The sequence below is a fragment of the Homo sapiens genome, chromosome X, assembly GCF_000001405.40.
Source record: "Homo sapiens chromosome X, GRCh38.p14 Primary Assembly".
NCBI classification, from domain to species: domain Eukaryota; kingdom Metazoa; phylum Chordata; class Mammalia; order Primates; family Hominidae; genus Homo; species Homo sapiens.
Window position 1 is genome coordinate 129978390 of NC_000023.11, and position 14309 is coordinate 129992698.

The window sequence follows — 14309 nt, forward strand, 5'->3', positions numbered from 1 at the left end:
GCTTTCAAGAAGTGGAGATTTAGTAATTTCTGGGTTAATTAAAATCAGCGATGACAGTAAATTCAACTTAAAGCAGAATTGGTGGGATCTGCATCATCAGGCCCCATAGAGGCGATTTTCTCCTTAATCATGCATTTTGAGTTCATATATTGATTGGCTTAAACAGATCATTTCCAAATCTTCACGTTCCCCTTGATGCAACTTAGGCCAAATATTTTTTAAGGGGTGTGTGTGGGTGTGTGTGTGTGTGTGTGCATGTGGTGTGCAGGAGTAGGGGTGGGGTGCATGAGAGGTTAGGAGTGGCCAAGTAGAATGTCTTGAGGAGAGGTTCCCAAAGCAAAATAAAATGGCCAGCGCCTTGTCCACGTTGCTGGCAATAGCTTTTGAGGGTGGTGAGGACAAGCAAGAGGGGTCCTAGAACACCAGGCCTCAGGCAACAGAAAAGCCACTGCAGCCTTAGATAACTTGCTCCAATGCTCACCCACATCCCTCACACCAGGTGAGGGAGACATACCAGGCAAGTCTCAACTGCCATCTCTAAAGTACTTCCAAAGGAGAGAAGGGACATCGGAGCTGAGAGATGGAACCTCTGGGCCTAGCAGAAGCGAGGTGGAGTGGGGAGGAGGAGGAGGAAGACATTAATCTGGCAGGGCTTCCTTCTAGTCCAAATGACCCTCTGACTTCCTCAGCATGGATAAATATATAACAAATAATATCAATATATCTGCACATAAAGACTTTTTTCGAATTCCTGCTATTCATTTCAAATTCCGTTTACAAAGCACTGAATCCTCCAGGAACTGCTGGGCACCTCCCCTAATACCCTCTAGGCTGAGGCGATGCCTTTGAAGTCCCTGTCATGGGCTCAGGGCTGGAGCTGCTAAGAAACACCCTAAGACTGAGAGCAAATCGGCCGGCAGCTTCAGCTCCTTCGCAAGCTGCTAGCTGCTAGCTGCTCTCCTCGGAGTCAATGTAAAGTCATGAGAGTTCGAATGTGGACCGCAAGCTTCTCAGCCCTTCAGTCCCAGGGATGGCCTGGGATGTAAACACACACGACGGTTTATTCCTTTGGCCAGGCAGAGAGTCGTTAGGGTAAAGGGTAAGGGTCAAGGGAGCTCGGATTGGTGACTGAGGAGCCCAAGGAAAGCCGGCAGAAGCCGAGTCCTCTAGAGCTGGGCTTTTGGCTCTGAATCGTGCAGGCTTCCCACTTTACACAGACCTTTCATCCCCTTCCTCCTTCTTCCTCACTCGGGTCTCTCGCCACCGACCCCTACCCCCCCGCCTCCATCCCCAGATGCCTCCACGCCCAGGTGGTGTTACCCACTGAGGGTGGCCCAGGGGGTTTGCAGCCGGGGGAGGTTGCCACCAAGGGTGGGCCGCCCTGGAGACGAGAGGCAAGGCGGCGAGCCCTGGCATTTTCCTTTCCCCAGCACCTGTCCCACTTCGGCGCCGGGGCTGGGGCTGCGCCCGCGGGCGGCCTCGGAGCTTGAGCGCCAGAACCACGCACTGAGGTCGCCCAGGGTGGGGAAGTGGGGGGCCGGGGGAGGGGCGGGGCATCCGGCGGGGAGGTCTCCCCCACCGCATGCAAGACCCTTTGCCCCCCCACAACATACACTGAGGCTAAAACGGGGATGAGAGTCACACAGAGCAGGAGCGAAATCTTTCGCTCTCCGACCCGAACGGCGCGTTGCTCGACCCCCCCCTTCCTGGAGCCAGGGGCTGGCCGAGGAAGGTGGCTCCGTTCTTCCCCCGTGGCCAGTGCGGGGTCTGCGGCTGCCCGGCGAGGTTCCGGCTTCCCCGGGACTGGCAGGGGGAGCCCCGAGAACTGCAGGCCCGCCCCCCCTTCCTCCTCCTCCTTCCCCTCCTCCCCCACGTGTCCTCCCTGAGCCCAGCAGCCTGATCCCAGCACCCCCCGCCACCTCCCTCCTCCCGCTTCGCCCGCTTCCCCGGCGGCGTGGAGAAGAGCAAAGTTGCGACAGCGGCCGGGGGCTCTGCCCAGGTAAAGGGGGCGCCGTGAGGCGGGGGTGGTGGGGGAACGGTGCGGCCCTGCGGCGGGGGCGGGGGGAGGATAAAGAAACTTGCTTCCCGCGGCCCCCACCCCGCGTGGGTTCCGATCTTGCGTGGAACGAGCCCGCGTGGCGAGTCGCGGCAACACTGCCGGGACCGAGGCCGGCACCTGGACCCGGACCCGGACCGCGCGCTTGGGCCGGCTCGGCGGGCGCAGGCAGCGGGCCAGGCCAGCACCCAGGCAAGGGCGGGGTGGGTGGCCGTACACCGGACCGAATCGGGGACTCCGGTGGCGTGGGCGCGGGCCGAACCCCGACCGGGCCGAGTTGGGTGGCGAAGTAGGACGTGGATTCGGGGGCGGGGCGCGGCGGGAGGGGGAAACCAGGCCTGGCCAGACTGGCCTGGGCGTGGGGGCGGGGGGCGAGTTCGGGGCACTTGCTGGGCTCTGGACCGAGCGGTAGGGCGGGGCGGCGCTAGGGGCTGGGCCGGACCCGCAGGGAGAGGGCGAGGGGAGGGAGAGCCGGGGGTGGAGTAGGGGCGTGGAGTTGTGAGCGGGGTCTGGCCTCGGCCGGGGGCGAAGGTAGATCGGCGGGGCCGCGAGCGGAGGGAGGGAGGCCCGCGGCGGCGCGGCGGCAGCGAAGGCCAGCTTCCGCGGAGTTTGTGCCCGGGCTTCCCGGGCTCTGGCCGCCTCACGCGCACAAATGGGGCTAGGGGACTGAGTGGTAAGCAACTCCGAGTGTTAGACGGTGATCGGGCGGCGATTCCGGGAAAAGCGAGGAAAGACACAGTCTGCGATTGTGCCGCACCCCCCACCCACCTCTTAGCATCTGGATTCTGCTCTCGTAGTGGGGGCCGCGGACCCTCCCCGCCACAGTCCTTTTACTCTCCAGCACTCCCACCGCCTTCCCCCTTCTTCAGCCATCTGACTCTCCTAGGGGTATGTGTTTTTGGGGGTGGACGGCGACGGGGGTGGGGGATACTTTCCTTCCCGTGGCGGCAACCTAGTTCGTATCTTATTCCTACAAGGTAGCGTCGCTTCGAGTCGCATGGACATTGGGGTTTAGATAATTTACCCCCCACCCAAGCGATTTAATGGCTTTTAAGCAAAAGGCGAATACCTGGATTTCCATGGGAGGGATGAGGTTTGAAGATTGGGATTCACCCCTAGCTCACTTCCACTACCAACCCCTCTTTCTTGTGAGCCACTTCCACGGGTATTCAAATCTGGGGGGGAGGGGGGACGGGAGTATTAATATGCTTCTCTATTTCTACACAGGGTCGGCGTGGCGAAGGACGGCTAGCCTTGGAGGGAAAGTAGCCACCAGTCCAACTCGGGTCGCCCCCACCATTATTTCGGTGAGGGGGCAACGCTAAGAAGGGGATACTGGTGGGTAGGGGCCCAGTATAAGGGAGGGGGCTGGGTAGTCGTCCCCAGAAGGACTCCGTGTCTTGGCGGGGAGAGAGAGAGGCGAGCCCCGGCTTCAGGGGAGGGGTTCCGGGGAGGGAGATGGGGGGGTGGCGACGACGGTGGGGGGGGGAGCGGGAAGAAGGGGGAGTCACGCCCTGCCTGCAAGGGGAGCCTCCCTCAGGCCCCTGGGAGAAGGGGACTGAATGCGTCTGTTCTCCGCTGCCCGGCAGAGGAGATCTGGGGTCTCGAGATTTGCACACTGGATCGGCACCAGTGGCCTGAGAAAGTCAGGTCGGGGCATAAGGTGGAGAACGTTGGAAGAAAGAGAGAGAACCCTTTGGCCGCGGCTCACTGACCCTCTCCCTTCCTCAACCTCCCCCTTCGAGGGGCGTCGAGGTGGGGGGGGACGTGGGGCTCCTGCAGCCCCGCAGATTGAGCGCCTCCGCCTCTCCCAGGAGTCTAGCTTTTTGCCCGGCTTGCTGCAGCCACTGCTGCCTCCCTCTCCGGAATCCGCTCGGTCCTCTCAGCGATCCCCTCCTCCTCTCCTCCCCTCCCAGTGTCACCGGGGCTGCTTGGCTCTGCCCCCTTCGCCGCCGCTTGCTCCCTGCTTTCGTCCCTCCCTCTCTTGCTCGCTCCCTCCCTTCGCCTCCTCCTCCCCATTCCCCCCCACCCGCGTAGGCCGCATTCTGGGAGTTGTAGTCCGGTGGAGCGGGGGTTGGCGCCGCCCGCGGACCCAGCCGGACTCCACTTCCCGTCGAGCCCTGCGACCGGCACCCACTCCACCAGGCTTCGCTCGCACACAGACACACACACACACCGCTCTCCCCCTCACTCTTTCGCTCGCCGCGGCTGCTGCCAGTGTGTGGCTCTGTCTCTCCTCCGCTTTGCTGAGCCCTCCCTTCTTCCTCTCAGTTCCTAGAGTCCGACCGCCGCCGCCGCCGAGAGAGAGGAGAAGGAGGTCGGTGGCGATAAGGGGCGGAGGGGGGCATCAGATCGGGGCAGTATTAGGCGGGTGGCGGTTAAGAGGGAGTAAGAGGGAGCCCGGGTGGCGGCCTGAGCCTCCCCGCGGAGCCGACCCGGGAACAGGTGCGTCTTTTTTCTCTCTCCCCCAATCCCTCCACCCCTTTTGACTCCCCGGCTTTTTCGTATCCCCCCACCCGCTTCTTTCTATCTTAAGCCTTTCTCCAACCCTGTTCCTTCTTTTCCCTGCGGCCGCTCGGCTTGCCCCCCGGGGGCGCCGTCCTCTTCGTGTCCCCGGACGTAGCGCTCCCTGGAGCTGGGTATGTCTTCGCCCCTCCCTTCGGGACAGCTCCCTTCCACTTCCCACCTTCGTACCCCATCCCCTGACTTGCCCTACCCCCTTCTCGACCCCCTTCTCTCTTAGCCAGGTGAGACTCGTTCGCCACGATCCAAGAGAGTCTTCTTCCCGGCTGGGCGGGGGTCTCCATGGAAACGGGGGTCGGTTGATCCTGGGGGGGAAACCATAGGAATTACCCCACTCCTCGGAAAGGGAGGTGGAGGCTATGGTCTTGTTAACTACCTGACTCCAACCCCCGATCCAAGGATCCGACGATCCGAAGGGAGGCTGGCTAGCAGGGCAGGGCGAGAAAAGGCTTTTTTTTGGGGGGGGGGGGTGTCCGTGATGAAGTGTTGAAGAGACCGGGAGAAAATGCCCTCCAACCTCAGAGGGGAGGTGCGACGGGTGCTCTTCAGGGCTGCTTTCTTCCCGGCGCTGGGGTGCGGGAATCGTAGGGTAAGGGGTACCCCTAGGTGGCGGCGGGGCCTGGGTTCGGGAGTGGGAGTGCTGTGATGGGGGCAGGGGCAATTATCCGAGTCCCTGGAAAAAAGGCGGGGGATGACTTCGGAGCGCCCTGGCTCCGCTGCCCTCGCTCTAGGGGCGGGGGCCGCCGGGCCGGGCGCGGCGGGGAGGGGGCTTAAATTGAAGGAAGATGAGATCGGGGGCAATTCATACTAGCACCGGCAAGCCAGAGGGGAGATCCGGCGTGCAAGCCCTCCACCCGCTTCGCGCCAGGCCTGGAGGCAAGGGGTCGGCGAGCGAAGCCGAGGGCTGGAAGGAGGGAGGCTCCGGTTACGGGGCCGGGTTTCGGGATCAGGGGCAATCCCCCGGCCCTTGGAGAAGGAGGGAGAGGGATGGCCGCGAACCCCAGGGCTCCCCCACCCCGGGTCCTAAGGGGCGTGAGGGACGGACAGCAGGCCCAGCGGAGCTGGATTCGAGCGGATCGCGGCCGGGGAGTGGGAGGGCTTAGTGGTGGGCTTCGGGGGGAGCAGTCCGGCGGCGGGGCGGGCGGGCGGGGCGTGGGGCTCCGGCGGGCGGCGGGGCGGGGCCGGGGGCGGCGCTGCTGCCGCCGCCGCTGCCGCCGCCGCCGCTGCTGCTCCTGCTGGGGCCGCCGCAGCCGTTGCCGCCGCCGCCGCCGCCGCTTCTGGGCGGGGAACGGAGGCCAAAGAGAGTCCCGTGCCGGGGCAGAGGGCGCAGGCGGCGCGCGGTGGGGAGGGGGCCGTCCTGGGGGCGGGGGCAGGCGGGGGGGTGGAGCCCCCGACGGGGGGCGGTACGAGCCGGGACGACGACGACGAGGAGCCCCGGGGGCCGGGTGCATGGAGGACGAGGTGCTGGGAGAAGGAAGGGGGGTGTGGGTCCCGCGACTGGCCTCGTGGGCTTGGCTCCTCGAGGTTCGGTTTCGGGACAGAGCCCTGCAGGGGCGCCAAGAGGCCGGGGAAGGGATAGGGAGGTGAACTGGTCGGTGGAGGGGGCCCTCCTCGCCGGGGTCCCGCCGAGAGGAAGGCTGGGCCAGAGGGACGTCCGGGGCAAGGCTGGGAGGAGCCGGCCGCACCTCGGCTGGGGATTTCGCGTTATGGAGGTGCGGGAGATTGTTGTAGGGAAAGACGTGGTCGAGGGGAAAGGTGGGAGGGAAACACTGCAAACCCGGGAGGCCAACAGCACAGGCCCGTGGGGGTGCCCTTCTATTCCGCTCGCACCTCCTCCCTCCCTGAGTGGAAGCACTATGTTTTTGTTTTATTGTTTTGAAATTTTCAATGTTGGCTGATCGAAACTGTCGATGGGGTGATATTCATTCTTGGTGTCTCCTGGAGTAGACAGTAAAGACAGGCATCCTTTGGCGAGCAAGCATCTAGCCCAGGGTTTAGAGGCTCTTTACGTTAGTGTGGGAAGGGGGCCCGGTAACTTTGTGCCACAGCTTGACTACTGTTAAGGCAGTTTGGAGGTCGTCCCTGTGGTACAGAGGTGGAGTACAATTGCAAAAATCTTCAGTAAGACTTCTGGAGATGAGTTGTAGGTTAGCGTTACAGTGGTTAGCCCTGTGGTTCTTTCAACTTAGAAGGCTCTTTCTCAAAAGCACGCCGTTGAGTTACATGGGAAAATAAATGTGGATTGCATTTGGGGTTGGGAGTGGATTAGGTTGATTATAAAATTTCAAGGTTGGAAGGGAGTTTTAAGGTTATTTACTTTTCTGTTGATATGTCCTGTCCTTGAATGTTGGAATTGAGGGAGCTTTATTTTGGGGAAGATGGTAGATGGCACAGTGGAGGATGTCTGGTGCACAGTTTAGGGTACTTTAATTGAATGGTGATGTCACCATGTGGTACTAAAGATGACAGTATGTAGGAGAGAAATTTGGGGGATTCCACTGGGGATTAAATGGGATAACCTAATTTTAAGAATCATCCCGGGGCTCCAAATAGAAGCAAAAGGCTGGGGAGGAGCCTGTAAAATTTCGATGGAGGCGAAAAGTTAGTAGCAAAGATTGAGGTAGCTGGGAAGAGCAAGGGGCTTGGTGAGTCAAGTTAAGAGAATCTGAAGGTTGATAGTAGAGTTTAGGGATGTGGCCATCTTGACTAAGTCATGAGGATGTTGTTAGGCGGACATCTTTTGACAGGGCAACTTAGGCAACTGCCCTTGGGGCAGATGTGAGGGATGAAAGGTACAGGCCTTGGGGCACAGATCCTGACTAAAATTGACCTTAAGAGGGCTGATCCTGATACCAGCTTTGCAACAAGGGTGGTTAGGTTTCTTTTCTTTTCTTTTTTTTTTTTAGATGGAGTCTCAGTCGCCCAGGCTGGAGTGCAGTGCTACAATCTCAGCTCACTGTAACCTCCGCCTCCTGGGTTCCGGTGATTCTCCTGCCTTACCCTCCAGAGTAGCTGGGACTGCAGGTGCCCGCCACCACGCCTGGCTAATTTTTTGTATTTTTAGTAGAGACAGGGTTTCGCCATGTTGGCCAGGCTGGTCTTGAACTCCTGACCTCAGGTGATCCATCCGGCCCAGTTTATTTTTGTCCTGGCTGTAAGTCATTGATGAGGAAGGAGAGGGGTTTCACCTCTCCCTTGTCTGAGTTCAGGAGGATTTTTAAAAAATTTTTTTAGAATAGGCCAATAAGGAAGGGACAGCAAATTTTTAGAAAAGGCCAATAAGGAAGGGACAGCAAAACAAATCGTTGGCATAGGGCAGAGAAAAGCTAAGGCCCTGGCAAGCTCTGCTGCTGGAGTCTGCATAGGGCAGAGTGGAGGGAGTTCCACAAGACATGATGGCTGCACCAAAAACACTCATGTGGGTCTGGCTATTTTGATTTGCCAGGAAAGCGTAGATAAAGAGGGAGGATCCCTTTCTCAGTGACATAGACATTCTTGGGAAGAAAAGAGGGGTCCTCCACAGGGCTCTGCTTCATTTATGATGCAGTTCATGAAATAGAAAAAAATGGGCCGGGTGCAGTGGCTCACTCCTGTAACCCCAGCAGTTTGGGAGGCCAAGGCAGGCAGATCACTTGAGGTCAGGAGTTCAAGACCAGCCTGGCCAACATGGTGAAACCCCGTTTCTACTAAAATCACAAAAATTAGCCAGGTGTGGTGGGGCGTGCCTGTAATCCTAGCTACTTGGGAGGTGGAGGCACAAGAATTGCTTGAACCTGGGAGGTGGAGGTTGCAGTGTGCCAAGATCGTGCCACTGCACTCCAGCCTGGGCAACAGAGCGAGAGTCCATCTCAAAAACAAAAACAAAAAAACAAAAAAACAAAAAAAGAAAAAAGAAAAAAATGTTCAGTACAGGGAGTGGAGGATCTCAGGACACTATTGGTTGGATTATGGGTTGTAGGGAAGGGCTTCTTTGAGAGAAACAGAATTATGGGAAAAAAGGACTTGGACACTAGAGGGAAGGAAGGCAAGAAAGAGAAGTCAGGAAGAGGGCTGGTTGAGCAATGAAAGGAAAAGAAAGGTGATCATCACTGGTCCCATGTAAGGGCCAGCTAAGGAAAAAGTCAAACCTTGAAATCTCTAGGACAATGTTTTCCAAAGTAAACTTTGAAGAACTCTTAAAGCTCTTTACAATTTCATGCTGGAATCACTAAGGTTGGGGCAAGAGAGAAGGAATATATGGGGTAAAAGTAGGGTGGGGGAGAAACTGGCATTTAGAGAGAAATACAAGCATATTTATCCATAAGGAAATAGGGAACTTAGAGATTATATACAGGTTAAAATGCAGAATGTGAGAGAAAAAGAGAGGAATTAAGAGCCAAAGGAGGAAGATATTTACTCAGATATCTTTTGGAGCCGGTGTTAGGGAGCGGAAAATCTTGCCTTTGATAGCCACTGCCCTGAGAGGGCCCAGGAAGCAGAGGTTAGCTGGGATCCAGGCCTTACACATCTAAACATTAATTAGAAAATCTAGACTAAAGTAAGGATACTGAATGGGGGGAGGGATTCACTGTCCTAAATAGAGTGGCCTTGAAAGAAGGAAAAAGTGGGAATCCACCAGTGTTTCCAGTCTGCAGGTGGGAAGGATCCTAGGTATCAGGAGATGAGTGATGGAAATTCCAGGGTGAAACTGGATAAAAAACTGAGTGACATGAGAGCCTGTGGGCCAGAATTGGAGGGTGGGGTTAGGGGCATGGAAGAGAGGCTCTAATCAGGGCTTGGACTGGAGGCCACATGGAGTAATTCATTGATTCTGGGCTGAGCTAAGCTTGGGATGAAATAGAACAGCCAAAGAGAGTAGAGAGCTGTTCTTCAGGGCCAATCAGCATCAGAATCAGAGTGAAGAAATTCGAGGTCAAGTTTGGGTGGGAAAGTGAACACCGGAGTGGAACAGAGAGGGTGCTGGAGAAAGTGACACAATTGTTGGGGTAGAATAGGAAAAGGTAGAAGCCACTGATGATTACATAACCCAGAGGGAAGACCCTAGGCCTTTGAGTTTTCAAAGAGAAGGGAAGTTTCTTAATGCTGGAGTTTGAATTAGGTGTGAGTCCATGGTTGCCAGAGTGTTTAGTGTCAGGATGGCCAAAGAGGGAGGTAATATCTACTTTTCGGCCACTAGGATGCTAGTACAGTATTTGATATAATTTTACATATGAACTAGGCTTTATTAATGCCCATTTTTGAATGGTTATCCTTAAAATAATGTAGAAATGGTTCTTTTTCTAAATTAAATCATTCCCTTTCCCACTGTTCATAACTTAAAAGCAATCTTTTATGATGAGAACTTTCTTTGGCGAACTGAAGTTTCATTCTGGTCAAGAGTAAAATTTAACTCTGTGTTTCTATCCCCGTAATTCAAATATGCTGTTCTAGTTTTCTTTTTTATTCTAAGCAGAAGTGACCTTTTCCCCATAAAACATAAAAAAGGATCTTTTTTTTAAAAAAAAAAAGTAACTGAGTAACTGCAGGCTGCATGTCAAGGTCATATTTTCCCTGGTCAATGAATTATGATGAATTTGAATACAGCTGATATATTATTTGTAAAATGTGGTAATTTTCAGATTTACTCATCACAGTATGTGAGGCAGGATACCTCTTCATTTGTATTTTAAGAAAACCTTAAGCTGAAGGTCCGTGAGGAATCCAGAGTACCAAGGAGCAGGGAAAGCTTTGTGTTTTGGGCTTCTTTACCGTGGGTCTGCTGAGAAACAAAATTTGGTTACCTCATTACTAAGGTATGCCTAGAAATCATAGTGTTAGTGCCATTTAAGGGTACTGTTGAGTTTTGTTATAATGCTGATGTCCAGGGACAAGGAGAACAAGCAGATTTTTGCTTTTCCAAGTTTTGTGGAGAAGTGCACCGTATATGACTATGATCGCAGAGGTGAGTTGATGCACTGTATACCTGAATCCATGAGATGATTATCTTCTGATAATGAGGCTTTACTCAGTTTAACTTGGTTGTACCACACCCCAGTTAGTATAGTACAGTGGTTCTCAAACTTGAGCTCCTCAGAATTGCCTGGGGGGGCTTTGGAGACCGACAACCTCAGGTTAGAGTGCTTGCTGTTCTACTTCTTAGCTATGTGGCAGGAGGCAAGTCACTTAACTTACTTTCGTTCTTTTTTTTGACAGAGTCTCACTCTGTCACCCAGGCTGGAGTGTAGTGGCATGATCTCGGCTCACTGCAAGCTCCGCTGCCCGGGTTCAAGCCATTCTCCTGCCTCAGCCTCGCAAGTAGCTGGGACTACAGGCGCCCGCCACCATGCCCGGCTAATTTTTTTTTTTTTTTTTTTTTTTTTAGTAGAGACGGGGTTTCACCGTGTTAGCCAGGATGGTCTCAATCTCCTGAGCTTGTGATCTGCCCATCTTGGCCTCCCAAAGTGCTGGGATTACAGGCGTGAGCCACCGCACCCGTCTTTTTTTTTTTTTTTTTTTTTTTTTTTTTTTTTTTTTAACCGGAGACAGTCTAGCTCTGTTGCCCAGGCTGGAGTACAGTGGTGTGATCTCGGCTCACTGCAACCTCCGTCTCCTGGGTTCAAGCTATTCTCCCACCTCAGCCTCCTGAGTAGCTGGGATTAAACGTGCCCACCACCATGCCTGGCTAACTTCTGTATTTTTAGTAGAGACGGGGTTTCACCATGTTGACCAGGCTGGTCTTGAACTCCTGACCTGAAGTGATCTGCCCACCTCAACCTCCCAACATGTTGGGATTACAGGCATGAGCCACCGTGCCAGGTCTTCACTTAACTCTCTTTGTTTCTTTTTTTTTTGTTTTTAGACAGAGTCTTGCTCTGTCACCCAGGCTGAAGTGCAGTGGTGCTATCTTGGCTCACTGCAACCTCCACCTCCCGGCTTCAAGCGATTCTCGTGCCTCAGCCTCTCGAGTAGCTGGGATTACAAGCGCCCAGCACCACGTCCAGCTAATTTTTGTATTTTTAGTAGAGATGGGGTTTTGCCATGTTGGCCAGGCTGGTCTCGAACTCCTGACCTCAGGTGATCCTTCCACCTCAGCCTCCCAAAGTGCTGGGATTACAGGCATGGGCCACCATGCCCGGCCCACTTAACTTTGTTGAGCCTCAGTTTTCTCATCTATACAATGGAGATGATAATACCAATTTCACAGGGCTGTGAGGATTACACAAAATCATCCCAGGCCCATAGTAGGTGCTCAATAAATGGGACCTATTATTTTATATATATATTTTTTTCTTTTTCTTTTTTGAGATGGAGTCTCGCTCTTTTGCCCAGGCTGGAGTGCAGTGGCGCTATCTCGGCTCACTGCAAGCTCTGCCTCCTGGATTCACGCCATCCTCCTGCCTCAGCCTCCTGAGTAGCTGGGACTACAGGCGCCCACCACCGTGCCCGGCTAATTTTTTGTATTTTTAGTAGAGACGGGGTTTCACTGTGTTAGCCAGGATGGTCTCAATCTCCTCACCTCGTGATCCGCCCGCCTTGGCCTCCCAAAGTGCTGGGATTACAGGCATGAGCCACTGTGCCCGGCCCTATTATTATATTATTATCTAATTTTTCTTGTTCAATTGTATCCTATTATGTTATAGTAAACATGGTGGCAGCATGAAAACTATCAACAGCTTCTCAGTGGTCCCCTTATATCTTGATTCTCTGTCCTCTTTCTTCATATTCCTGTTGTATTAGTACACATTTGGCATTTACAACATGCTAGGAAGAAAGCTTGACTCATCACTGCATCTACCTTTGAGGTGGAAGTGGCGGCTTCTTTAACAGCTATGCTGTAACACTGCTCAATAGTTCAGGACAGGAACTGAGGAGTGTATATCCAGTTGAAACTCTAGGGAACATTTCGGGCCATGGGTGACATTTTTAAAAACCATTGCTTTCTGAAAAGGGCTGTTGTGTTTATTTAATTAATTAATTTATTTGTTTATTTATTGATTGATTTATTTGAAACCGAGCCTCACTCTGTTGCCCAGGTTAGAGTGCAGTGGCGTGATCTCGGCTTACTGCAACCTCCGCCTCCTGGGTTCAAGCGATTCTTCTGCCTCAGCCTCCCGTGTAGCTGGGACTATAGGTGTGAGCCACCATGCCTGGCTAATTTTTGTATTTATATTATTTATTTATTTTTTGAGATAGAGTTTCGTTCTTGTTGCCCAGGCTGGAGTGCAGTGATGCAATCTTGGCTCACTGCAACCTCCTTCTCCTTGTTTCAAGTGATTCTCCTGCCTCAGCCTTCTGAGTAGCTGGGATTATAGGCACCCACCACCACGCCTGGCTGATTTTTGTATTTTTTCTAGTAGAGATGGGGTTTTGCCATGTTGGCCTGGCTGGTCTCGAACTCCTGACCTCAAGTGATCCGGCTGCCTTGGCCTCCCAAAGTGTTGGGATTACAGGTGTGAGCCACTGCGCCTAGTCTATTTATTTATTTTTGAGACAGGGTCTGGCTCTGTTGCCTCAGCCTCCTGAGTAGCTGGGACAGGCCACCATGCCCGGACAATTGTTTTTATTTTTATTTTTAGTAGAGGCAGGGTCTCCCTGTGTTGCCCAGGCTGTTCTTAAACTCCTGAGCTCCAGCATTCCTCCTGTCTTAACTTCCCAAAGTGCTGGGATTACAGGTGTGAGCCACTGTGCCCGGCAGAAAATATTCTTTTTTTTTTTTTTTTTTTTTTTTGAGACAGAGTCTTGCTCTGCTGCCCAGGCTGGAGTGCAGTGGTGCGATCTCGGCTCACTGCAACCTCCATCTCCCGGGTTCAAGCAATTCTCCTGCCTCAGCCTCCTGAGTAGCTGGGATTGCAGGCGCCCGCCACCATGCCCAGCTAATTTTTTTTTTTTTGTATTTTTAGTAGAGACGGGGTTTCACCATGTTGGTCAGGTTGGTCTCGAACCCCTGACCTCGTGATCCATCCACCTCGGCCTCCCAAAGTGCTGGGATTACAGGCGTGAGCCACCGTGCCTGGCGCTTTTTATTTTTATTTTTGTTTCTGAGATGGAGTCTTGCTCTATTGCCCACGCTGAAGTAGAGTGGTGCAAACTCAGCTCACTGCAGCTTCGACCTCCCGAGCTCAAGTGATCTTCCCACTTCATCCTCCCAAGTAGCTAGGACCACAGGCCCATACCACCAGGCACAGCTGATTTTTAAAATAATTTTTGGGCCAGGCACAGTCGTCACGCCTATAATCCCACCACTTTGGGAGGCCGAGGCTAGCAGATCACTTGAGCCTAGGAGTTCAAGACCAGCCTGGGCAATGTAGCGAGACCCTGTCTCTACAAAATAATACAAAAATTACCTGGGCTTGGTGGCGCCAGGTGTGGTGGCATGTGTCTATAGTCCCAGCTACTTGGGAAGCTGAGGTGGGAGGGCCACTTGAGCCCGGGAGTGCCGCTACAGTGAGCTGTGATTGTGCCAGTGCACTTCAGCCCAGGTGACAGAGTTGAGACCCAGTCTTAAAATAACAACAACAAACTCTTTGAGCTAATACTGTTTAATGAAAGCTGTATAGATACACCTTTGAATGAATAATATATATAAAATTAGTTGAACCCATAGCTGAGTCTGTTCTGTTGTGAGAAAATAGAAAGAATAACCTGATAATGGTCTCTCCAAATATTTGTGTTATGTAGTCCAGGAGACTTTTATAAAAGCAAAAGTTGGGTGAGGAAGAATTGTCTTTTTTAAAACCATATATATATATTT

At 53.7% G+C, this 14309-nt stretch overlaps 1 protein-coding gene across 17 annotated transcripts in view, besides 2 other annotated features; it reads left to right on the forward strand.

The window, feature by feature from the left end:
* Positions 1665-1734: a silencer, noted in NCBI's record as "silent region_20985". NCBI's record gives its function as "represses an Ori minimal core promoter by ATAC-STARR-seq in GM12878 lymphoblastoid cells {active_cell/tissue: GM12878}" and the evidence as "EXISTENCE:reporter gene assay evidence [ECO:0000049][PMID:35858748]".
* BCORL1 (BCL6 corepressor like 1) overlaps positions 1924-14309 on the forward strand; it is a 77759-nt gene continuing 65373 nt past the window's right edge. For 4 of the 17 annotated variants that reach the window (XM_047442341.1, XM_047442340.1, NM_001184772.3 and 1 more), the window contains exons 1-2: positions 2590-2944; positions 3284-3363. The gene's annotated coding sequence lies outside the window, so the exon portion shown is untranslated. Of the gene's footprint in view, positions 2000-2589; positions 2945-3283; positions 3395-4245; positions 4502-5996; positions 6041-14309 lie in introns of those variants that run through there. The other 13 variants (NM_001379451.1, NM_021946.5, NM_001441332.1 and 10 more) reach the window with 9 other exon arrangements.
* Positions 5075-5311: a silencer, noted in NCBI's record as "fragment chrX:129117440-129117676 (GRCh37/hg19 assembly coordinates)". NCBI's record gives its function as "represses an EF-1alpha promoter that drives an FKBP-Casp9 reporter gene in an ReSE screen in HepG2 liver carcinoma cells {active_cell/tissue: HepG2}" and the evidence as "EXISTENCE:reporter gene assay evidence [ECO:0000049][PMID:32094911]".